This window comes from Homo sapiens, chromosome X (genome assembly GCF_000001405.40).
Source record: "Homo sapiens chromosome X, GRCh38.p14 Primary Assembly".
Lineage (NCBI taxonomy): Eukaryota > Metazoa > Chordata > Mammalia > Primates > Hominidae > Homo > Homo sapiens.
This window is the reverse complement of record NC_000023.11, coordinates 10,555,690-10,581,974: the sequence shown is the minus strand read 5'-3', so window position 1 is coordinate 10,581,974 and position 26,285 is coordinate 10,555,690. Positions and strand designations below refer to the sequence as shown.

Here is a 26,285-nt window from a genome sequence, read left to right as displayed (position 1 = left end):
CACTGTTCTTGATAGTTTCACATGCTCCATCCATGCCAGGGTCCCTTATTTCCTGCAAAATAAAAAAATTCTGACAAAGAGTGCATATGGGACAGGGTGACCTTCACTGGGAAGCGGAAGTGAAGCCCCAAGTTCATGGTGGGAGATCAGTGGTAATGAACAGAGGTATGTCATAGTGTAGGAAACAGATGAAATTGCCAATGTGAAGATAAGTCATTAGTGTTAAGAATAAAAATGCTAGTTCATTTCACATTCACATACTGTTTGTTCACATAAGATGCTCCATAAATGTTATTGAATAAATGGATTTATATCCTTCTTGCTTGCAAAAATGGTATGAAGAGGTTTCCAGTAAAAAACACAGATAATGAATTTATTCAAAGAAGAGTGGGAAGAGGCGATTCAGGACAAGAAGGGAAGAAGGACCCCAATCCCCCATCCCCTACCACCCTGTCCTTCCATAAGAGTGAGAATTTTGTCAGGCATTTTAAAAAGTTCACCTCACTAATCCTCAAAGGACCCTTAAGATTGCTCTCAGATAAGGAAACTGCATAGAAGATAGGAAGAGCATCTGTGAGTATAAGATATGTACAGTATCTGGCTCCGATCTGCCTTTGCAAGGAAATGGCAGAGCCAGGATTTGAACTCAGGTTATCTGGCTTCAAGGTACTACATGTTTTTTGTTTGTTTGTTTGTTTGTTTTTTGTTTTTGTTTTGTTTTATATGACTGAGTTTTTTTACTCTATCACCCAGGCTGGAGTGCAGTGGCGCAATCTCGGTTCACTGCAACCTCCGCCTCCCAGGTTCAAGTGATTCTCTTGCCTCAGCCTCCCGAGTAGCTGGGATTACAGGCACCCGCCACCATGACCAGCTAATTTTTCTATTTTTAGTAGAGATGAGGTTTCACTACATTGGCCAGGCTGGTCTCGAACTCCTGACCTCAGGTGATCCGCCTGCCTCGGCCTCCCACAGTGCTGGGATTACAGGCGTGAGCCACTGCGCCTGACCTCTACATGTTTTTTTTTTTTTTTTTTTTTTTTTACAGGACACCACATTGACAGTGTCAGCCCAAAACTAGACCAAGAACACTTGGGCACACTGAGCTCAGGGCTTAGCCCAAAGTTTTCTGAAAGCATGCCAGAGGGAAAGCTGGATGAAATGCTTTGGTAAAGAAGAAAGCACATCAGCTCATCACTCATCTGACAATAGAAAGGACTGATCAGGAAGTGGGGAAAAGGAGAATAGTGGCAAAACATAGAAAAGAGAAAAAAAAAGACTGAAATTTTTAATGGAGCGCAAAATCAGACATATTTTTTTACTTTTTTGAACTTCTTTAGAGACTACAATAATAATTCTTATGTGATAAGTCCAATAAGCTATGATGATGTTTTATTAAATGTACCATCATACTAGCAGCTTTTGCAGAATTTGCATCAGAAGAAAAGTATAAGATATTACCACCATGACTTGGCAAAAGCGGTATACTATATTAATGTTAGCCACTTAGTTGCTGTCATTGTTTCTCAGCACAGTACCCATTGCCTAGTTTCCCTGGGAGTTCTTGAAAGCTCTATTGAAAAGTTATATTTAAAGTGTAAGTTAGAGTGTGCTGTGAATGGAGAGAAAATTGTTTTTCTTTTTGTAAAAAATTCACTTTCCTTGGGACTATATACTAAGTTAGCTCAGTTATTTGACAGAACCAGTATCTTATTTTACAAAGAGAAAAACATAGATCTAGAAATTTCCAGAAGCAGATCACTGGTTGAAAGGGCGGGGCGGGGGGGGGCATGTGATTGAATGTGATTTGAAGGCAGTTTTAATTTTATGACACTTTACAGTGTGTGTGTGTGTGTGTGTGTGTATGTGTTTTAATGATAACCTAATTTTATTGTCCCAGACTTAAAGATCTGTGCCACCTGGAGAAACTACAGTTCATCCATTAGCATGTAAATCTGTTAAGAGTATTTTTGCTTGAATTTCTCCGAGAAGGCTCCCGGCTTTGTTCTGTACAGACACACAGTCCCGACGCTGTTCTTAATATCCTGTTTTCATTTGTCAGCGCTGTTGTCCTTTTCATTGCCATGTTCCCATCATTCCTCTTCTTTCATGTGGTGCTTTACAATAACATTCAGAACAAAAGAGTCACTCCTCTTTCTGTTGCCTTTAAAAAAAAAAAAAAAAGACTTCTTCCCCTGACTGCAGAGCTTCAGTGATCAGGGGAAATGTTTAAAGCATGTTATTCGTAATAGTTAACCAGGAGTTGTGAATAAGGGTTCGTTTTCCTTACTTTTTAAGATCAGGAGGTAGCTTCAGGGTATTGTGAGCAAAAGGTTTTTGTGTGTGGCTGACTTTGAAGTTGAGGGAAAAAGCGATTTTCTTTGAGAAAAGGAGGCATCATATTTGAGAGAATTTCCAATCTGCTCACACAATGGGAATCAGTTACTCTATAACATCGTCATTACCTCCATGAGTCACGAGACTAGTATTTGTTCTTGTCTTTGAACTTAAGCTTTCCAGTGTTCAGAGAACAGTTGTGAAATGTTGCATTGGCCATCATCAATAACTATTTTGCTCCTGGTTGGTAATAATTGGGAAGGGGAGGGTGTGTACTTTCTCTGCCTTCTAGGAGAGTATTATATAAATAAAGTGAGAAAAAGTTTCCCCAAGCGGCAAGCTTTTCTCCAGGGCACAATCTATTATACTTGCTGCAAAAATCCCACTTGACTGGTCTTTCAGAGAATAGATCACTTGCGTCATTTTGCTCATTTCCAGGTGACCTTTTGCAGATATGAGCAGGCAGTTGTTTTTAAATAAACATTATCTACAGGTTTCTGTTTCTGCACTAAGGAAGGAATGTTTCTGTAATGCAGAAGGGATGCTATGACTGAGGGGTTTGTGAAGAGTGAATTCTAGCCAGTCTCAAATAATTCTGAAAAGGTGCTTTTGTATATGTATATGTGTACTTATGTATACATGCACATTGTATATAACTACAAAAACTAATTCCATTATGGACATATATAGGACTTTATACAGACATAGTTATATGAATATATATAGAAATACCTATCAAACTATAAATACATTTGAGAAAGCATTCAGGGACAGCAGTGTTAAAAGCTTTTCATCTGTGACTGGTTTCACAGAAATTAGTGACTTCCATTTCTGCTACCATCACGCTGTTGGTCTGTTCACCAGGAGGGTTGATTTAGACTTCTGCCAGGAGACTAGGTGTGGCCATCTCTCACCCTCTTCCTCTCTGTCCAGTCTGCTATCATTGCCTTCAGAACCAAATTCTTGCATGATACCCAGTACAGCATAGACCTGGAAAACATCGGTCATTTTCAATATAATGTAAAATAGGTTCTGTGTGCCTTTAAAACTAAATGCTTTATTTCTTAAACTGTAAAAGACATGAAATGTCTGAGACATTCAGATAGTGGGAAATTTCATCTGCAAGTTGTCAGATTATGCCCTTTAGAAGATTGTAATTTTTTTTGTTGTTTATCATTTTCTCTTGAGGGGTGGAGTAAATATTTCTTTCCTGATGTTTCAACTTCAGATGTTCAGGCTAATTTTCCACTACAGTGCCAAAATAGGGAAAAGTTAGGCCTGTAGAATTTTGACAATTTAAATGTTGTTTTAACAAAAGCCATGTCTTGATGAAAAGTTCTTTAGAATTCTACTTGATGATCTATGTGTGTCTCTTCCGAGGACAATGAGAACTTCTTAAGGAAGTCATCTATATGTGAAATTGAGTAATCCTTTTATTCATTGTTAAAAGACAAATGAAGTTATAATTTGGAGAGACATAAGCCAAAAAATCTATGTTTGCATTTTTATGTCCTAACATGTGAAGCATGCTTTGATTTACTGTGAAGTGTTGCAATGGCAATAAAGTAGATGTTGAGACGTGCAGACTGGGCAGCCCGAGGAAGCAGTTCTTGCCTCTGCTTCCCCTTTATCATGAATGTTCCTTAAACACCTTTGGTGGAGTCCAAATGTCTGGATTATGAATTGAATTGTGCAAGATTCTTTTTTTAAACACTTTCCTGATGATTTACTTTACTTGCAGTTTCTTGTCTTGCATGGTGATAAGCAATATCCTTCAAAGAACTGCAGCGCAGGACTTTTTTTTTTTTTTTTTCTTTTAGGAAGACTACTTCCCCTTCCTCCTTTAGTCAATCAAATTTTAAAAGATTACTTCTTTCCATTCTCAGTTCACCCTTTCTTTGCCATTCTGGAGACTGAAATTTTGGACACCCATCACAGATTTGCTATTATATATATACCGTGTATGTAATATTAAATATATATATATATATACACACACGATGTTTTTATATATGTGTGTACATAATGTATGCATACGTGTGTATGTGAAACCTGTGTGTATATACATATATTTTAAATTGTTTATCAGGATGATAGATTGCTATTTAGGTCACTATTTTTGGAAGAAATAAATGACTGTTCTTTGTGTCTGTACTGGAGATTGTTCTTCCTGATATAACTTTGAAGAAAACTTCTTCCAGACATTATACATTAATTCAGAAGATAAAGGCACAAAATAATGTGTATATTATTTTTTTAAATGAACAAGCCAGCATGCAGAGCATAATGTGATCATGTGCTCAGTACGACACTGAAAGGCCCCAAAGGCAAATGAGTCTAGTGCCTGTTCCCAGCCCCAGGAGCTGGGCAGGACGGCTCCTATTGGTGGCATTGAAAGCTAGCATTCAGCCTTCTGCCACAGGACAGTGTCTCATTCGGCCAAGCTGCTGCTGGTCCCTGTAAGGAATGAGAGTACAGATCCCGTTGCCAAGTCCTCATTTTTTTGGACCAGGCAGTGGGTGTTGAGCTGACCTGAGCTACCTTTCCATTTGGGTTCAGTTGAACATTGAGTAGGCCAGAGGATAGGGAAGTTGTGGCGGGGGCCGTGGAAAAGGCAGTTGATTCTTCAACTCGGGCAACCCTGGCGGAGTGGATGAGGTGGAGCTGGCCTTCCTGGAATTGTTGGACCGATTTTCCTGTTGTGTTTCACTGTTGACGCACTCACAGACACACAGGACCGCTCCAGCACTGCCTGCCACCCACCGTCTGGTCTCGGTGGCCTGTCTATCATTTCGTGGGTCCCCATCCTCTGCCTACGGCGATGTTTCTTCAAAAAGAACTAGTGTGCAGTCCATTGGTGGGTATTCAAGGTGATCTCTTTGTCAGAATCTAGAGAGGTGCTCAAAGAACTATTAAGGACCAATGTACTAGTTCCTGTTTTTAACCTGTTTATCAGTCTTTCAATTGAACAAATTGGATTTCTGAAACTGCTGAGGGGTTTTCTGCACTATTAGGACAGAACAGGATAGGGTGGTTGTTCCTCCAGGAATCTGGGTTGTTCTTTTGCATTGCCATTTGTCTTTGTGCTTGTCTGCTTGTATAAATGAACCTCGAGAAGGAGTGTTTAAGTATTCTGTTAAGTAAATTTGGAAGACTAGGTTTCAATTAAAATAACCAGACAGTGTGACCCAGCTTCCATTTCCCCTTAATTTTGATCATTAAAGCCTTCATATCCCCACAGACATCTGCCATGCTTCGAAGTGATTCTTCTCAGGAATGTTCATTCATTATTAATCAGGTTGCATGGTCAGGCGAGTATGTGATTATTTTAAAGAATGTCCTAGAGATCCAGTTACTAAGAATGAGCATGTTATAGGCAGATGTGAAAGTACAGAAAAGATTTGGTTAACAGTTTAATTTGATTTGCATGAATTCCACCAGGTGGGTGTTTGGCGAAATTAAAAGTCTTCCCTGGTTCTCACTTCAGATATGAGGTAAAAAAATAATAATAATAATAATAATTTCAGCACTTCTTAAAGAAGAAATGTCAAGTTATTCAAAATATCTATTGTATTAATTATTTTAAAACTTGAGGCTAGCATCTCAGTGCTCATCTGCTTGTCACTTTTTTTTTTCAAACAGTCCCTCTGGTCCCCTACAATTTTCTTGGCAGAAATTCTTAGTTGTCTGTTACTGGTTGAGCAAATGAATTTGAGTGTGCTGACATTTGGAGGCTAAATGCAGTGATAATTCAGAGTAACATTCTTTACCTATAAAATGTTACTGGATCACCTTTTTTCACCTGTTCTTACTTGATGTATTATTTATACTGTTGTTTTTAAGAACCACTTTGCGTTTGTACTGAAACAGCCTACATTATGCTATCAATTTCCAGTCTTTCAGAATGCAGTTAAATCCAACTGGATCCCCTTCTCCCCTTTTTCCATCAGTTCATGGCCCTGTTTTACTGTGCCTTTGCTAACCCACCTGCTTCTCAAATTGGCCAGAGTGCTAATCAGTAAAGTAACATTTGGGTAGTGTCTTTATTCGGTGGTCTTTATCACTCAAAGTCAAATACTAAATGGCATAATTGAATATGCAGATGCTGAGTGCTTGTATTATGTTATTCAAAATACCCTATGATGAATTCATCTTGGATGTAGCAGCCAGTTTTTATTGAGTTTGTGTTAGACAAGTTTTTGAGTTGAGAAATTATGCTTATTTAAGATGAGAGCAAGTCCCTTCTGAGTTGGGTCCCCGTTGCAATCTGCCTCCCAAACTCAGGTTGATTTCCAGTGTTTCACACTTCAGTAGTTTTGAGTCCTCTGAAAGTCTGTATTTCTGCTGGTCCAAGATAGAAACATCACTCTGCAGTCTTTAAAAAATATTTCACCTATAGTTCTATAATAAAGATAATCTCATAGCAAAAATCCAAACAGCAATAGTCAACTAAATCTAATTACCCAGGTGAATAGGGGTTAAGAGGAGCGGACAATCAAGTAAATTGACTTGATTTCGTTTCTGAAATTTAGGACTCTCAAATAATTCATTTGTACATTTTCAATGCTATTTGTTGTTTGAAATACTTATAGGAGCTTCCTGTTCTGAAACCATTTTCGTGTGGCTTGCTGTAACATCGTGCAATTTTAACAGTGTGTTTGTCATCTCAGTTATGTTTTGGTAAATTTAACAATAAAGTTAGTCTCTATAGTCCAGAGGATATTTGGAAAAGAACTAGAGGAAGTGCCTTGGGAATCATCTGGGCAGTGGCTGACAGCCACGTGGTATTAACGATTAATCACAGGCCACCCAGTGTTGGCATACAAGTTTATTCCTTGGTCTAATGACTCACTAATTTCCCTGGTAGTGAAGGCTTTAGAGTTGTACAAAGTGAGGGGCTGGAAGTAAAATTATTGATAGAATTGATAGAATTGCATGTTCTTTTTCATATACTCCAAATTAGAAAAATAATTGTATTTCATGGAGTATGCAGACATAACCTAGAATACTTGTAGGAAAGCATTGAGAGGTGGGTTTACCTTATCATTAAAAAGGTCAATGCCTCCATTAAGGGAAATTTGGGATAAAAATTATGGATGATGTGCTGATGATGGGCGATCTCCTTATTCTAATGGATGCTGTAACAAGTTAGCACAAACCTGATGGTGTTAAACAATGCAAATTCATTATCTTACATTTCTAGAGTCAAAAGTCTGACACAGGTCTCACTGGGCTAAGAGTAAGGTATCTTTAGGGCTGTATTCCTTTTGGGGGCCCTTGGGGAGAATTCATTTCCTTGCCTTTTCCAGCTTCTAGCCTGCATTCCTTGGCTTGTGGCCCCTTCCTCCATCTTCAAGGCCAGGCATGGCTGGTCGAGTCTTTGTCATATCTCATCATTCTGACTCTGACTCTTCTTCCTGCCACTTCCACGTTTAAAGAGCCTTGTGATTCCTTTGGGTCCACCTAGATGATCCATGCTGCTCTCCCCATCTCAAGGTCAGCTACTTAGCAATCTTAATTATATCAGCAACAGTCAGTCCCCTTTGCTCTATAACCTAAAATATTCACAAGCTCTGAGGAGGAGGCTGTGGATATCTTTGGGGACCATAATTGTGCCTCCCCCAAAGAGGGAGGAGTAGAAACTGTGGTGTCTGCTGTCTGGTGACCAGGAGGACAGAAGCCCTGTGAGGAGACACCAGGAGCCCTGTAGAGAAGACAAAGACAGGCTAATGAGGGAAGAGGATAAATCCCACATCATGTGCATTCCAAGTCTGAGGCACTTGCAGTACATGAAGCAAAGAACTGTCAGTGCTAAACCGGGTTCCAGAAAGGGGTTCTCGACCATCTTGGGATACAAGCCTAGCAGTCATTCTCAGAGAGGCAGTACATGAAACAAACAAAAAACTGGATGGCCCTGTCAAAGGAACCATAGACCATCAGAAAACACTTAGGCTTTGATTAGCAAGAGGTAGAAGTCAGCAGTGGTTAGACAGAGGAAAACTAGGAAAGTACAGTTTCAGTGACATACAGTGATGTGGTTTGTTTGTCCCCACCAAAACTCATGTTGAAATGTAATCCCCAATGTGGTGGCATTGGGAGGAGGGGCCTAGTGGGAGATGTCTGGGTCATGGGGATGGATCCTTCACAAATCGCTTGATGCCCTTCTTGAGGTAGTCAGTTCTTGCTCTCATGGAGACTAGATTGGTTCTCACAGGAGTGGATTAGTTCCCATGAGAATGGAGTTGTTATAAAGCAAAGTTCCTTCTCTTGAGCAGATGCCAGTACCATGCTTCTTGTACTTCCCAGCCTGTGGAGCCACGAGCTAAATAAACCTCTTTTGTTTATAAATCGCCCAGCCTCAGGTATTCTGTTATAGCAACACAAAATGGACTAAGATACATATTATGAGAGAGGAAAGGAAAGGAAGAAGAGGGAGGTGTGAAAACATTTACATCATTATTTTCCAGCAAAACATCTACTTATTAATTTTCCATTTTAAAGAAGTACTTTCCTCATAAGTCTTGAATCTATAAGAAAGTTTTTTCAAAAGATGTATCCAATGCCTCCCACGATGTGGGGCTTCACTGTAATCTGTCACTGAAGACTCTCCTGCCTAGGGGAGTGATTAGAGTGAGTGCTAGAGGGACTGTAGGGAACATCTGTGGACACTCACCCATGGATACTCAGACAGCTAATAAGTAGCAGAACTGCAGGATGTCTTAGATTATCCCGTCACCTGTCCAGCTCTCTCCCCTTTCATTCATTATTCTGTGCTGTGTTCTAGATGTTTAAACCATGGACAGGCAGAGGTGTGAGCTGTGATTTGTTGCCATTCCCAGTTTGTTGCAAGGGACTCTCAAGATTATCTAGATCCTCTTCTCAATGAGGACCAATCTGCCCATTCACAAAAATGTTAAGCTATAGGATTTCCTGACAACAATATGCATGTGTGATTTCCTTTTATTGAAGTAGAAATGAAGAAGTTTTTTTTTTTTTTTGAGGCATGGAAATTACATTATGACAGTTAAGAAAAGGCAAAAGCTGCTGTTTTATGATATTGGGGTTTTTGTTGTTGTTGTTTGTTTGTTTTGAGACAGAGTCTTGCTCTGTTGCCCAGGCTGGAGTGCAGTGGCATGATTTCAGCTCACTGCAACCTCTGCCTCCTGGGTTCAAGTGATTCTCCTGCCTCAGCCTCCCGAGTAGATGGAATCACAGGCGCACGCCACCACACCCAGCTAATTTTTTGTATTTTTAGTAGAGACGGGGTTTCACCACGTTAGCCAGGCTGGTCTCGAACTCCTGACCTCAAGCGATTCACCCACCTTGGCCTCCCAAAGTGCTGGGATTACAGGTGTGAGCCACCATGCCCGGCCTGATACTGTTATTAATGATATAAATAACAATGTAAGCTATATATATATGTGTGTGTGTGTGTGTGTGTGTGTGTGTGTGTATTAGATACATATATATATAGAGAGAGAGAGAGAAAGAGAGAGAGAAAGGGAGAGAGAAAGAGAGAGAGAGAGAGAGAGAGAGTGAAAAGAAAGATAACATTTTGCATAAAATTCCCACCCATGTACCACTATCTGCTTGGTGAATCCCTGTTCATCTTTTAAAACCCACTTCATACTTTACCTCCTTCAGGAAGCTTCTCCCTGTCTCCTCTCCCCCTATATAGAGTTGATTATTCCCTGTCTGTCTTTGGCATGCATCTTTTTTTATGTTGCATTACACCTTGTTCATTTTTTTTTCTCGATATGGGCTCACTCTGTTGCCCAGGCTGTAGTGCATTGGCATGATCACGGTTCATTGCAGCCTCAGCCTCCCAAGTATCTGGGACCACAGGCATGTGCCACCACTCCTGGCTAATTTTTTTATTTTTATTTTTTGGTAGAGATAGGGTCTCACTATGTTGCCCAGGCTGGTCTCAAACTCCTGGGATCAAGTGATTATCCCACTTCAGCCTCCCAAAGTGCTGGGATTACAGGCATGAGCCACCACACCTGGCCTTGTTCATATTTTCTCTCTCGGAATGAACCATAAGATCATGGAGACAGGGGCCAGCTGTTACCAGTACTTGTCTCAGGACCAAGTACATAGATGAACTTAAGTATTTGGTGAAAGAATGAATGGCAAAAAAAAAAAAAAAAGGAATGAATGGCATTTTAATTTCTCCAAAAAGATATTTTAAAGAAAGCTAGAAAATAAACCATACTAAGTTTCTTTTAGAAGAAGGAATGGAATGAGTACAAATAAGATACTGTAGAGTCATTTAACAAAAATGCTATCTATGCCATTGTAAAATCTGGGTAAAAGTGGAAAAAGTGGGATGCACTATAGATATCAAACCAAAACCCCTTCCTTTTTGGTAGCATACAGGCAAAAGATTTAGAAAATTGGCTGAAATTCACCTACCACATCTGAGTATTGTGTCTTCACCTAATACAATTAACCATTTACAGTACAGACACTTGCATAAAGCACTATGCCAGGTGCTATGGCAGTAAAAGAAAATATCTAGTTTTGAGCAGCTACTATTAATTCGTTCTTACATGAGTTGCCCCTAAGCACTCGAGTCACATAATTTCCATTGATGTCAGATTCAAAGCCCATTGCATATCATTTCCCATTAGCACTGGAAACTTGTAAGTGCTTGTTCAAGTCTTGCTCCGCCATCCTTGCTGCTGTTGCCCACACAGCATTTTATTCATACCTCTCTGAGAATGATTTTCATTTATGTTCTGGTTATCTGTATATGCCTCTATCTTCCAATACATGGCTCAACAAAATAAGATGTGCAGGCCAATGCTGGCCTGTGACCTGTTTTTCTAAATATGGTTATGTTGGAACACAGCCATACTCATTCCTTTATGTATTGTGTCTGATTGCTTTTGCACTACAGTGGTAGATTGAGTAGTTGCAACAGGGCCCCTTTGGCCCACAAAGCCAAAAATGTCTACTATTTTACCCTTTATAGAAAAAGTTTGTTGACCTCTGTTCAAATATATTGAGAGATCCTTAAAGTCAAGGGCTGTGTTTGATTCTTTTTGGTTTTAGCTGAAAAGTCAGTACATTTAATGGAATCAATGAATGTTTGAGTCATTTTGTGTGCTGAGTGCTGTTCTAGGTGTTGGTGGTACGTTCTTCAAAGAGCAAAGCAAAATCTCTGCTTTCACAGAGCTTATATTCTAGTGTTGAGGACAGTGGGGACAGAAGGAGCAATAAACAAACTAAAAGAATATGTCAGTGATAAATATTATAAAGAAAAATAAACCGAGATGGGGGAAGAATTACCACGATGGGTAGGTGGTATAGTGGTAGAAGGGGAATTGGTTTTATGTGGGTTCAGAGAGAAAGTGACACTGGAGCAGAGAGTCATGTGGATTCTGAAGACCTTGCAGGGGCGAGCAGGGGATTGATGTGCTTGGCATGTTTGAGGAGTCAGAACGAGGCCATGTGCTCAGAGCAGAGAAAGGAGTGGGTAGCGTGGGAGGAAGTGAGCTCACTGTCTGAGTCTGTGTTTTCTGGGGCTGGTTTATTCTGGTGAATTTCTCTCTGGGTGAAATGGGAAGCCCTTACAGGGCAGAGCAAAAGGAGATGCATGTTCTGTCATGTTTTAACAACAGGCTCTCTTGCTTCTGAGTGGAGGATAGACTATAGGGGGAAGGGCAGGAGTGAACAGAAGCCAAGAGACCATTTAGAAAGGTCTTATGATAGTCCACATAAGAGATGATGCTGGCTTGGCCCATGATAATAGAGATGAGGTGATGTGAACCCCAGATTCTGGCTTCTTCATCTAACTCAGTGCCTGGCACACAGTAAACATCTGTTGAAGGAATGAATAAAATGTCAGTATTTCCACTGAGGTCTCCCCAGTGGAATCCTTTCTAGAAATTCTCATCACACCTCTCTGGGATGGAATCCTGGCACCTGCATTAAAAATATAGTCATCATAGCTCTCCAGACATAATTTGATGCTCATCCTTCTATTCAGATTCATTGGTAGGCATTCTTGTTTTATCTGAGAACAGAGCAGACCAAAAGGGCTACATTTTTCCTTTAATTTATATGCTTCTGATGAGAAGGTAAAAGAACTTTGATTTAAAGATAATTCTACATTTTTTCTATGATTAACCAAAATAATTATTAATAGGTAAAAACCTTTCCATTTCTTCTGAGCCATCTGTAGGAAGAGGTGACAGACCAAGTGGGGATGATATGTTTCTTACAACAGCAACCCTAGGGTTTCCATTGCAGGTTGTAGAAAGATGTACAAGCTTTAATATTTCAAGTCACAGTTGCTCTTTTATTCTTTCCTATATAATAAATGCTAGTGAATGGTTGAAGATTTTTTAAGATACCAGGCTTTTATGAAGCCAGTAGCTGTTTAATTTTTAACAGGCTCGGGACATACTTTATACTTTTAATGATCAGTTACCATTCAGTTGGTAGCAAGATGAGCATTAATTTCACCAAAGCACCATATTGGTATTTCTGAGGGATGCTATTTCAGAAGGGGTCAGGGTATTCTAGAAACCGTGAATTTTGTAAATAAGCGGAGGTGTGAATACAAACGATTGATTGTCAGAATCACTAAACATAGCTTTGGATGTGAAGCCTTCCCATAAATCCGGCTGAGAACGCTCTCCCCACCACCCCCGTGGGTGATTTGAACCTCCCGACCACTGGGTGAACTGCACTGTTCTCCCACAGCCTGCAATGGGCTGCATGTAATATTCCCATCACTGGTCTGCAGACCTCTGCTAATGGTCTTGAAAGGGAGAAGGTTCAAAGCGGCTTGGTTCCCAGGCCTGCTAATGAGCATGAGGCCTCTTCACCCTTAATGAACTGGGGTTTGTGTGGAATTCTTTCTACTACTCTTTTTGATGGGAAGGCAGATGAGAGTTCACAAAAGCACTCAGGTCTTTATGGCAAGGGGAGCAGGCAGCTGGGCCACCCTCGGGTGGCCTGGAGGAGAGCAACATAGCTAGCAGAGGTCGTACCCAGGCCAACATAGCTCTGAGTGTGAGGCTGGACCTCCTGCCAGCCTGGCCTGTTGCTGGCAACAGTGACAAGCCCGTGGTGGGAGTTTTTTGGCCAAAAGGGTCCCTCAGCAGTTTTGTAAGCCTCCTTAAATTGCTTTCTCAACTGTAATCATTATCATTGTCATAACATAACTTATCACATGAATATGATGACCACTGAAATCCTTGTTCTAATTAACTAAATCATTGCTCTAAATATTAGTCATTGGTACTCAAACTTACTGCAGCCACTGAAAAAGCCCCCAGATATTTTTCTCCACTTCGTTCTGCCTACCCACGTCCCACTGCTGGATTAAACAATAGAATTATTCAGAAACATAATGAACACATGCCAAAAATATTGCCTCTATCACAATCATCTTTGTGAAAGTCAATGTTTTTTCTCAGGAATATATTTTGGAAAATGACATCCCACACTTAAACACGATCATCTCTGCTGAAATCCCCACATTTGATTTCATGTACATTTCATGCCCATTTCTATAGTTACTGCCTTCCTATTGTTCTGAAACCTGGTTTGGTATTGCAGAGTAAAAGTCCTTAAATCTCGTATACATTAATACGTAAGTTTATAAATTCAAATTTATAAAAGACTCTAGTTTATTGATGAATATTTCTACATTTTAATTTTCTGTGCGAGGTTAAACCTGACTCTGACACAATAAGATTATTCTGATTAAATACAAATTATGGAAATTACAGTTTCAATTACATTCTAGTTTTGAATGAAGCCTTTTAAAAAACAAAATTGAAAAAAAAAATTGCACATTTTCAGTTACTGAACTTTGAGAAAATGTTAACTGGTATATGATGGCTCAGGATGCTTTTTCCTCCTTTTTTCCCCAGTGAATAGAAAGAGAATTATTTGGAATGTACACACACTTACCCTTTCATGACCTGTGTTTGGAATTATTCTGAGATGCATTCAAAGCTGACACCCCCCTATGGTTGACCTCCCTGTGCCTAATCAAATCTTACATTCTTGTTTCCAGATAGCTGATCAGCTTCCTTGGGTTTTGCTGATGACACAAGAGAGCTTTGCCTGAAGATGGAAACACTGGAGTCAGAACTGACCTGCCCTATTTGTCTGGAGCTCTTTGAGGACCCTCTTCTACTGCCCTGCGCACACAGCCTCTGCTTCAACTGCGCCCACCGCATCCTAGTATCACACTGTGCCACCAACGAGTCTGTGGAGTCCATCACCGCCTTCCAGTGCCCCACCTGCCGGCATGTCATCACCCTCAGCCAGCGAGGTCTAGACGGGCTCAAGCGCAACGTCACCCTACAGAACATCATCGACAGGTTCCAGAAAGCATCAGTGAGCGGGCCCAACTCTCCCAGCGAGACCCGTCGGGAGCGGGCCTTTGACGCCAACACCATGACCTCCGCCGAGAAGGTCCTCTGCCAGTTTTGTGACCAGGATCCTGCCCAGGACGCTGTGAAGACCTGTGTCACTTGTGAAGTATCCTACTGTGACGAGTGCCTGAAAGCCACTCACCCGAATAAGAAGCCCTTTACAGGCCATCGTCTGATTGAGCCAATTCCGGACTCTCACATCCGGGGGCTGATGTGCTTGGAGCATGAGGATGAGAAGGTGAATATGTACTGTGTGACCGATGACCAGTTAATCTGTGCCTTGTGTAAACTGGTTGGGCGGCACCGCGATCATCAGGTGGCAGCTTTGAGTGAGCGCTATGACAAATTGAAGGTTAGTCCGATCCGCCTTAAGCCAACCCCTTTCTGCCAGAAAATGTCATGGAAATAAAAAGTGTATTCACTGCTAGCTACATGGCAGGTGAAGGTTTTCTCCTCACCTTTGTTATCTGATTAGTTTTAGCATGTTTTTGGCAACCTATAAATGTTACACAATAAGGGTATCTTGTAAAAGTTGACTGCTGCTTGTAATTTTAGCGTTGTCAAGGTGAGGGCAAATTCTAAAAATCTGGATCATTTTCAATCCATGCAGTTTTTCTGGATCATTTTCAATCCTTACAGTTCTTCCAAAGAGAGTGCTGCCTCTCTCTGAGAGAGAGGGAGAGAGAGAGAGAGAGAGAGAGAGAGAGGGAGAGAGAGGGAGAGAGAGGGAGAGAGAGAGAGAATGACAGATAAAATCTGGCTTTGGGCATTTGGGGAACACTTACTTTTCTCACTCATCTGGGAAAACTAATTCACTCTCATTGTACCTGTATCTAGTTACTGCACAAACAAAAGAATAGAGGGAAGAATGTCTGTAGCAAATGTGGGATTTTAGAGGACACGTGACCTTTTATTCCTTGTATAAACGATATCCAGCTTATTGGTGAAATTCAGTGCTCTGACAATCTCAGGTTTCACGAAAGAATTCCTTTTCGTGTAGGCTCTTTATTCAGTAAGGTTACAGTCAAGACTATTTGAACTTCATTTTTTACATGAAATTATTAACCTAACTCCAGCTTGGGGGATAATGATTAATATGACTATATGTGAAATAAAAGGATCACTTTCTAGGCAGGGCGTGGTGGCTCATGCCTGTAATCCCAGCACTTTGGGAGGCCGAGGAGAGTGAATCACTTGAGGTCAGCAGTTCAAAACCATCCTGGCCAACATGGTGGAACCCCATCTCTACTAAAAATAAAAAAATTAGCCGGGTGTGGTGGTGGGTGCCTGTAATCCCAGCTACTCGGGAGGCTGAGGCAGGAGAATCACTTGACCCTGGGGGGTGGATGTTGCAGTGACCCAAGATCGCGCCACTGCGCTCCAGCCTGGGTGAAAGAGCGAGACTCTCTCTCAAAAAAAAAAAAAAAAAAAATCACTCTCTAAGTATGGATAGAAAGCACTAGGGAAGAAATAATAAGCCAAGTCTCCACATGTTTGTTCAATTTCAGGCAACAGTGGGTCTAATTATTGAAAACTCAGCTGAGAGAGTTTGAGTGAGATACTATGTTCATCAGCTAATTTTAGATCACAAGACACCAATTAAAAGAAAGGAAGTATAAATTAAAAGCTCTAAGTAAATATATATTGAAGTCCTTCCTCTCAGGAAAAACACATACCATGTTGTTGAGCAAACAAAATGAATCACATGATCAAAAGAGTGTTATCACTTAGAAAACAGTGTCACCTTTAACAAATGGTTTCTATCACCTCTCCTTAGCGCTAATGGGTGGTTGTGTTTACTGGGACCACATAGTTTATTCTGTGACAGTGGGATTAACGGACCACATCTGGGATTTGGCTTTGCTATTTCTTGACATGTTGAGGGAAGCCGACATGCTGAAGTCAATTCCTGCTTCTCAATGTCACTTGGGCAACAAAAGCATCACCTGGGCAGCATGTTTCACTTCAAGTATCCAAAGAATTACTGGTGCAAATCCATCTTTAAACCATGTAGAGGAAGTCAAGCACAAGGACTCAGGTGACACAGACAACAGAAGACAGCCGCTGACAGGCTTTCCAGAACAGTGCATGGCAGCACAGGAGAAAAGTACCACCAAAGTTAATCATAGCAAAGGCAATGCATGTATGAGCTGTGCCTCTAGAGCAAATTCTGAAGAAATTGCGAAGGCTATTAATTTTTACAAACCAAGGTAATCTTTTTTTTTTTTTTTTTTTTTACCCCTTTTTTGGTTGGTGGTGGAGCTGAAGGGAGAATATTTAGGATAACTGAACAGAGATGTTTGATTTTTGTTTTCCAAAATGTAAACATGCCAGATCTTTGTTTCTTTATTAAAAATGTTCCTTTGATTGGATTTGCACTACCTTTTAATGATTGTTTGTTAAAACACCACAATCATAATGATGTTCAATATTTAACAACTCCCAGGCTTGATATTTATTTAAATCTTGTGGTCAGGTTCTGCTCAAGTACTCATGGCCTGTCACAGCAGAGTTATTAAATATTTACATAACATCTCCAAATTTATGAAGAATTCCTGTCATGCTCTAGCCCTCTTTGTGATAAAAACAAAACTCTTCAGTTACGAGCCCTGCACACTTTAATTGAGCCAGTGGCCTATCGGTTGTTCTACTGTCACATGGAGGGCCTGACAATTAATGATGTGGTTTCTTTTTATTTCCTAGTTACAGAAATATAAGCATATAAACAGCATCCAATGCACCGAAACACATTTACAGCCGTTCAATAAGATGTACTTATGAGCATTTGAACAAATAACTTATCGACATAGCATGTTTGTTTTAAAACATGCCACTTACGTTAGAATTTTAAAAATAATAATTATGACATTTGGATGTCTGATATTTCAGTTATCGCATACTTATGAACATATGTACATCCTTGTTTTATTTAAAACCTAAGCACAATATAAATGTTGATTTTTTTGAAGGAAGTAATAGCATACCAAGAGGACCAAAACCAAGGAAGTATATTTCTGTTAATTACTACTTTGGTCTGAAATGTGCTCTGAACATGCATTTTTCTGTAGCTCTAGGATCTCATATAGATGTGGATTTGTGATGATGTGAGAACACAGATAAAGCATGGAGGAATTTGAGGATGCTTTCATTGATAAGACAATAGATTTGCTTTATTAATTTGCATATGTAAGGACCCTGGTGTCTTTGGAAACATTTTTGTCCTTCTGTTAGTAAAAGTTTATTACCTGAAGAAGGGAATTCTGCAATTATTATGAAGAATAATTTCTTGCAATAATACTAAACTTTGGGGGACATATTTTACTCATTAGATCTCAGTATAAGAGATGTTTGTTTATACAAAAAATCAGAATATCATTTTGTACATTACAATCTTTTTCTAAGTGTAAAAGAAAAAGAGATAAAAATTCTAACATGTTGAACTCGTACAAATAAAATCATCCACATCATGTAAAATAGCATCATGTCAGTAATCTAACGCTTTCGGAGACTATGCATTGAGAGGCACTCATGAAATATTGAAGCAAAGAGAAAATTAAGGTAGCATTTCCTGAACTCTACTAAGATAAAAAGAGAAAAGTTTTCCTGCCAAGTGCAAAGGTCTCTAAGTGGAGCGTATCCATAATGTGGATATTTCTTTACATCGTTTTAATTGAATTTTAAGAAGCCTCTCAGTCCTTCAAACTTGGAGGAAAAATTTGATTTGTGAACCACATAACATATAAGAGAATTTAATATAATTAATGCATTCCAGAGTTTTCAAGGAATTAAAATGCAGTAGTCCTCTTTTTCTGTTCCAACATACAAGGTTGGAGCTCTTGTTTCTTTTCTCTAATTATACCTATAAAAATATACAAATTGAAAAAAACTGACCTTTCCTTGCCTTTCAGTTTCAGCATAGCCCCTTCAAATTAGCTGAAGCTGAAGTTCCAAACTATTGTTTTGCTATTCTTATTCTAAAGGCTGGCTGAGGAAGTTTGTTTGTATAATGCATGTTTCAACGGATCATCCCATTGTAATTTTTTAATAGTTTGATTTAAAAGTTCAAATTAAAGCTCAGCATTTCTATGTAGCACTTTTTATCTGGAAGTGAAGACATGAGATTTCATTCTTGGGTTTAATTTATAGATTGTAAGGTTCTATGTTTGAAAAATCTTTCCCAGTTTGCAACTAGGAAAGTTGTAAGTGTATACTGAGCTAGACTTCTTTTTATTATAATTTCTATAACTTGTTTCTTCTTTGAAAACCAGTAGCAGGCATAGTGCAGGTTCTAGTGCTATGGTGTGTGATGCACACACATACTTGCATATACATATACATACATGCATTTATTTATTTATTTAATATTATAATCTTCCTGAATCTAAGTTGGAGACAAATTCAAGTGACCAGTATTTTCATTAGGGATATTTCATTCTGCAGGCAAGAGATGACAACAAACATAGCAATAATAACTATATTCCCATCACTCAAAATATTTTACCTGTTCCTTGAATGTTTGGTAGATGGATACAAGTCAACTTTGGACTTGGTATATTTTTTGTGGGAAGAGTCTTATCTTGAAGGGGTTTTTTTTTGAAGTTACAAATATGTGTATTTTTTAAAATGTGTCTTTCTGTTTATTGGTTTCTAGTTTAAATCCCTTAAGATCAGGGCTCAAGACAATTGCATATGGTCTCACTTATGGATGCAGTATGCTTTAAGAAATATTAGAATAAGTTTATTGTATCTTCAAAATTTCCATGAGCTCATTAATGTTTTCAGTCTGTGTAATCAATTAATGACTAGGAGAGGTGCACTTAGGCCTTCCACTCAGAGAGTGAAATTTTCTTTTTTTTTTTTTTTTTTTTACTTTAAGTTCTGGGACACATGTGCAGATTTATTACATAAGTATACATGTGCCATGATGGTTTGCTGCACCTATCAACCCATCATCTAGGTTTTACACCCCACATGCATTAGGTATTTGTCCTAATGCTCTCCCCCGCTCGCCCCACAACCCTGACAGGCCCCAGTGTGTGATGTTCCCCTCCCTGTGTCCATGTGTTCTCATTGTTCAACTTCCACTTATGAGAGAGATCATGCGGTGTTTGGTTTTCTGTTTCTGTGTTACTTTGCTGAGAATGATGGGTTCCAGCTTCGTCCGTGTCCTTGCAAAGGACATGAATTCATTCTTTTTCAGGCCTGCATAGTATTACATGGTGTATATGTGCCACATTTTCTTTATCCAGTCTATCATTGGTGGGCATTTGGGTTGGTTCCAAGTCTTTGCTATTGTAAATAGTACTGCAATAAACATATGTGTGCATGTGTCTTTATAGCAGAATGCTCTATAATCCTTTGGGTATCTACCCGGTAATGGGATTGCTGGATCAAATGGTATTTCTGGTTCTAGATTTTTGAGGAATTGCCACACTGTCTTCCACAATGGTTGAACTAATTTACAACCACCAACAGTGTAAAAACATTCCTATTTCTCCACAGCCTCGCCAGCATCTGTTGTTTCCTGACTTTTTAATAATCGCCATTCTAACTGGCTTGAGATGGTATCTCATTGTGGTTTTGATTTGCATTTTCCTAATGACCAGTGATGATGAGCTTTTTTTCTTCATATGTTTGTTGGCTGCATAAATGTCTTCTTTTGAGAAGTGTCTGTTCATATCCTTTGCCCACTTTTTGATGGGGTTGTTTGATTTTTTCTTGTAAATTTGTTTAAGTTCTTTGTAGATTCTGGATATTAGCCCTTTGTCAGATGGGTAGATTGTAAAATTTTTCTCCCATTCTGTAGGTTGTCTGTTCACTCTGATGGTAGTTTCTTTTGCTGTGCAGAAGCTCTTTAGTTTAATTAGATCCCATTTGTCAATTTTGGCTTTTGTTGCCATTGCTTTTGGTGTTTTAGTCATGAGATCCTTGCCCATGCCTATGTCCTGAATGGTATTGCCTAGGTTTTCTTCTAGGGTTTTTATGGTTTGGGGTTTTACATTTAAGTCTTTAATCCATCGTGAGTTAATTTTTGTATAAGATGTAATGAAGGGGTTCAGTTTCTGTTTTCTGCATATGGCTAGCCAGTTTTCCCAACACCATTTATTAAATAGGGAATCCTTTCTCCATTGCTTGTTTTTGTCAGGTTTGTCAAAGATCAGATGGTTGTAGATGTGTGGTGTTATTTCCAAGGTCTCTGTTCTGTTCCATTGGTCTATATATCTGTTTTGGTACCAGTACCCTGCTGTTTTTGGTTACTGTAGCCTCGTATAGTTTGAAGTCAGGTAGTGTGATGCCTCCAGCTTTGTTCGATTTGCTTAGGATTGTCTTGGCTATATGGGCTCTTTTTTGGTTCCACGTTAAATTTAAAGTAGCTTTTCTAATTCTGTGAAGAAAGTCAATGGTAGCTTGATGGGGATAGCATTGAATCTATAAATTACTTTGGGCAGTATGGCCATTTTCACGATACTGATTCTTCTATCCATGAGCATGGATTTTTTTTCCATTTGTTTGTGTCCTCTCTTATTTCCTTGAGCAGTTGTTTGTAGTTCTCCTTGAAGAGGTCCTTCACGTCCCTTGTAAGTTGTATTCCTAGGTATTTTATTCTCTTTGTAGCAATTGTGAATGGGAGTTCACTCATGATTTGGCTCTCTGCTTGTCGATTATTGGTATATAGGAATGCTCATGATTTTTGTACATTGATTTTGTATCCTGAGACTTTGCTGAAGTTGCTTATCAGCTTAAGGAGCTTTGGGGCCGAGATGATGGGGTTTTCTAAATATACAGTCATGTCATATGCAAATAGAAACTATTTGACTTCCTCTCTCCTATTCGAATACCCATCATTTCTTTCTCTTGCCTGATTGCCCTGGCCAGAATTTCCAATACTGTGTTGAATAGGAGTGGTGAGAGAGGGCATCCTTGTCTTGTGCCAGTTTTCAAAGGGAATGCTTCTAGCTTTTTTTTGCCGAGAGTGAAATTTTCAAGTCCTCTTCATAGTTCTGTCATTTTGCTTGCTTTAGGCCTTTTGAACCTATGTTATTAAGAACGATATGGCTGGGCATGGGGGCTCACACCTGTAATCCCAGCACTTTGGGAGGCCAAAAAGGAGCATTGCTTGAGCTTGGTCGTTTGAGACCAGCTTGGACAACATAGCAAGACCCTGTCTCTACTAAAAATAAAAATAAAAATTCAACTGGGTATGGTGGCATGTACCTGTGGTTCCAGTTACTCTGGAGGCTGAGGTGAGAGGATCATTGAGCCTGGGAGATCAGGGCTGCAGTGAGCAGTGATTACACCACTATGCTCCAACCTGGGTGACAGAGCAAGACCCTGTCTCAAAAGAAAAAAAAAAAAACCCACAATGAAAGTTAATATAGGTTTTTTGAGAGGTCATAAAAAATTAATATGTGTTTAATTAATTAAGGTAATATGAACAGTAACAGTCCCTGCCTTCATGGAGCTTATAGTCTAGTAGGGCATTCCAACAGCTACTAAATACTTTCTCTGTTGATGGTGGCAGGAAGCACATTGTGCCCAAAGCAAAGGTACTGACCCCAGTCCTGAGAGATGGAGAAAGGCTTCCCAGAAAAGGGATCACTGCACCTACCATTTCCAAGCCTTGTATTAGAAAACAATATTGAATTTACTAGATGTCTGTAAAATCCCTGTTATCAGTTATTCCTTTTTAACTTTTTACCACGTATGATGTTCTTTGTGTAACCCTATATAGTTTTTCAAACTTGTTCACAGTAATTCCCAGTTGATTTTAATCTAAAATACAGACAGACTATATGATGTTTCACCATGTGGTATGTGAATAACTCAGACACATGTCTTCTAAAATGTTGTAATTTTATGGAGTTTCACCAGTTCCAACTGACTCCAATATGCAATTCTGTTTGTACTAATTTTATGGCAGCATTTGTTTAGTCTGCAATATAGATATGTATTTTTTTCCTTTTATCTTTAGTTGGACACTTAATAATTGCACATATTTATGAGATATAGTCTGATATTTCCAAACGTGTATACAATGTGTTGAAATGTATATTTTTTAATAGTTTCCATGTGATTAAAATAAGATTTCCAAATATTTGTAAAATGTATTAAAACTATATTTTAATTTTGTTAGTTTGGTACAAGGATATTTATGATAGATGGAATAAAAGAAAGCATCTCCAGGCATATGTTCTTAATGGGAAACTCAAGGCAGCTTCCTTTTCCTCCTCCTCACCTGTCTATTTTCTGGATGAGTCCTCTCTCAACTCCTTCACCTGCAGAGAGCAATGTATTATTGCCTAGTGATTTATTATTGTTGGAATCATTCTTGGTAAGCTCAGAGAGTTCGAAAAATGCACAAACAAGTACACATGGTACCTCTTCATCATGTGGCTGTGTAAACGTAATTCTTGGGCACCTTGTTAACGTTCTTGTGCTATATTTTACTCGTCTATAAAACAGGGCTAATGTATAGTACTTACTTTCACAGAAAATTGGGAGAGCAAAATAAAGTGTTTCATGTGCCTTAGCATTGTGCCTGGCCTACAGAAAGCCTGCAACACATGTCAGAACGACTGTTAGAAACTAGGAGGCAGAATGTGTAATGGTTAAGTGTATGGACATTGGATGTAGACTGACTGCCAAATATTTTTTAACCACTGTCTTGTATTATGTGTATGTGAGATAAGAGTATATATTGTTGCTTTAATGTGTTTTGTAGTTTTGTTTCTAAAGCACCTGCCAAAGGGCAGAGACGTGACAATTAATAAACACTTGTTGATGGACATGTGCAGAATTGATGCATTAGACGAGTGTTTTGGGATTCGGAGGAGGAAGAGATGAATCTGCTTTTGAGTAGACAATAAACCTTGCTTCAGGGTGGTGGGATTTAAGCTGCTTTGACAGATCTGTGGATTATGCATCAAAGAAGAGTGAGGTGCTCTGCAGGAGTGAGACCAGCAGAGACCTGTCGGTAGGAATAGGCAAGACAGCTTTGGAATTTTAGACAATCCTAACTAGAGCACAGGGTGCCAAATGGGGAGCCAGGAAAGAGGATGTTGGAAGAGTCACCTGGAGGGAAGGTCTTGAAAGTCTTTAAATGCAAGGTTAAGGGTTTAGGCCATTTTTACCATTTTCTATAGAGTAATAGTGAAGTGTTTTTTTTTTTTTTTTAAGAGAGAGAGGTTAATGTATATTTTCTGAAATAAATTTCATGTGAGAATATAAGAATGGATAGGGTTACTGTGTTCATGGAAGAAATAAAAGGGGGAAGAGACATTCACATTACTTTAGATTTTGTGGTCTCTCTTTTAATTGGCAGAAAGAAGTAGTATCACAGGTCAAAAACCACCACCCTGTCAACAGAAACATGTAAAATTGTGAGATTCAAGGTCCTGCCCCTTAAAACTAGGAAGAAATAGGAGATGTCGTTGCTGATTGGCTCTTAGGTACAGACACAAATGTGATTCTTTTCCTGCTTTTCTAGTGCAGTAAGACACAGTGGGGACAATGCATGGTTATTTCTTCTGGCTTTTTGATTCACAATAAGGAGAATGCTGTTCAAACCTCCGAATGCCCACTATAAACCAAAATAATGTTTTAGAGCCAGAAGCAACCTTGGAGCTCATGTCATTCCATCCTCATTCTGCAGATGAGGAAAGTAGGGCTGAGAGTAGTAAAAGAAGTTTTCCGCAATGACCTAGTGGGTTAGTGACTCTGAACTAGGACTAGAGCACAGTTCCCAGCTGTCCAGTTTTGTGTCTTTCCTGCTACTTCCTACAGCGGTTAACAGTGCCAGCCAGCACAGGCAGGATTGCCTTTTGAGTGGTTCTGAAATTTCTGAGGTCTCTTCTGAGGTTTTCAGGAGTAAACACAATGATTTTACGGTAATTTTTAAACGCCTGCTTGGCCTGGCAATAAACCAGCATCATGGGTGTAGGATGATGCCTTACCATGCTGTCTGGGAATTATTGCAGAGATGTGGCTTTGCAATGATGCCTCCAGGGCCACCAAAATAAGTTGCCTAGAAGATGCCCCCATGCTGACATTTTCTATAGCTGAGCCAGTGTAGATTTGGCCATCTTGAAGGGCCAGACTTCATGCCTGGAGCTGTGTTCATGTACATGGACCCAGACAACCTCGGGGACACTGCAAAAGAAAGCAGAGTTAGGACAGTGATGTCAATGAGGAAACAAAGGAATTGTGGTTGCAACTTAATGGGCTCACTAATTCCCTTCTTAGGATTATTGTTTTCCTGAATGTCTTAATATATAGATTATTCTTAGACTGGTAAATTTTTTGACATTGCCATAAAGTGGGCATGAGTAGTCTGAGAAACTGAATGTGGCTAAAGATTTAATTTATTTTCAGTATGTGGCATAAACATTCTGGAAAAATCTGATACAAATGCAATTGTAAAAATCCATTTAAAACTTAATCACTTTATATTCTGGACTTTTGGGTATGACACAACGTTGTTGCGTACCCATGAGGTATGGACTTTAAGCTGACAAAGGAAAACACATTTTGCATGTCGCATCAAAAAGGAAAATGCTTGTAAAGTGCCGAGCATGGTGACTGGCACATAGTAAGTGTTGGATGTACACGAGGTATTATTTTATCTGGGCATTTACTGTTACAATAAAACCTTCATTGGTGTAATCCAATGGTGGATTTCTTGACAGTATCATAAATTACTCAGTGGTTATAGGGTTGATATGTGTTTCTGGCTGACATGGGAAACTTTGAACAACTCTCAAGGGAATTATAATTGGGTGGAAACTTTGATTTGTCCTTTCTAAACCAAGCTAAGTAGTGAAATGGACTTTTAAGAAGCAGTGAGTGGTGAATTGAAAGAAATGGCTTTAAAAACAAGGCCCAATTTGAAGTCTGGGGATGCGGGTGGCAGGGGTGGAGGGGAGCGGCTCTTTCATGTTTCTGGTTAATCTGATTGGATCAGCACCACAGGTGCCATCAGAGCACCTACAGCTGTTTCCAAGAAAAGAAAAGCTGGCATTGGTTTATACTATGGCTGTCACATTTATACACATCTAGACAGATGAGGAAAAGATGGGTGACATGATACACAGTAAGCCTAGACTAGTCAGACGAGCTCAGGGGGCTAGCTTTCTTTTTTTTTTTTTGTAGGGTTGCCTTTGGTATGTGAGTAAATGATGAAGCAAGTTGGCCCTGGGCTGTGTGTTAGCAGCTGTCTCTCTTAGAATAGGAAGAGGAAGGAACTTCGGTATCGACTGGGGCTGGAGGAGGAGGAAAGCGCTGAAGTGAAGGAGCTGTACAAGAAGGCAGCTTCCAACTCCTCCACTGTAGGGGCCCTGGGGTGTTTTGTTCTCTGTGCTCTCTTCTGTGCCAGTTGTGCAGGGTGCCTAGAATAGCGGTATCATCGTCTGCCTCCTCCCTTATATCTCTTTTGCTATTTATTGAGGGGGAAAATCCGGAAAATATGGTTTTTATTTTTATTTACATTGGGATAGACTAGGTTCTTATTACTGAAACAATATGGAAATCATGAGCAGCTTCTATTCCTTTTGT

The 26,285-nt window shown here is 39.5% G+C and overlaps 1 protein-coding gene across 9 annotated transcripts in view, besides 1 other annotated feature; it reads left to right on the top strand.

The window, feature by feature from the left end:
• The window catches only part of MID1 (midline 1), a 388,374-nt gene that overhangs the window by 251,709 nt on the left and 110,380 nt on the right, over positions 1-26,285 (top strand). For 6 of the 9 annotated variants that reach the window (NM_033290.4, NM_001098624.2, NM_001347733.2 and 3 more), the window contains one exon: positions 14,372-15,087. In NM_033290.4, coding sequence (NP_150632.1) covers positions 14,428-15,087 — 660 coding nt within the window. In that variant the 5' untranslated portion in view covers positions 14,372-14,427. Of the gene's footprint in view, positions 1-5,057; positions 5,192-14,371; positions 15,088-26,285 lie in introns of those variants that run through there. The other 3 variants (NM_033289.2, NM_001193280.1, NM_001193277.1) reach the window with 2 other exon arrangements.
• Positions 10,199-10,417: a silencer, noted in NCBI's record as "fragment chrX:10539598-10539816 (GRCh37/hg19 assembly coordinates)". NCBI's record gives its function as "represses an EF-1alpha promoter that drives an FKBP-Casp9 reporter gene in an ReSE screen in phorbol 12-myristate 13-acetate-treated (for megakaryocytic differentiation) K562 erythroleukemia cells {active_cell/tissue: K562(+PMA)}" and the evidence as "EXISTENCE:reporter gene assay evidence [ECO:0000049][PMID:32094911]".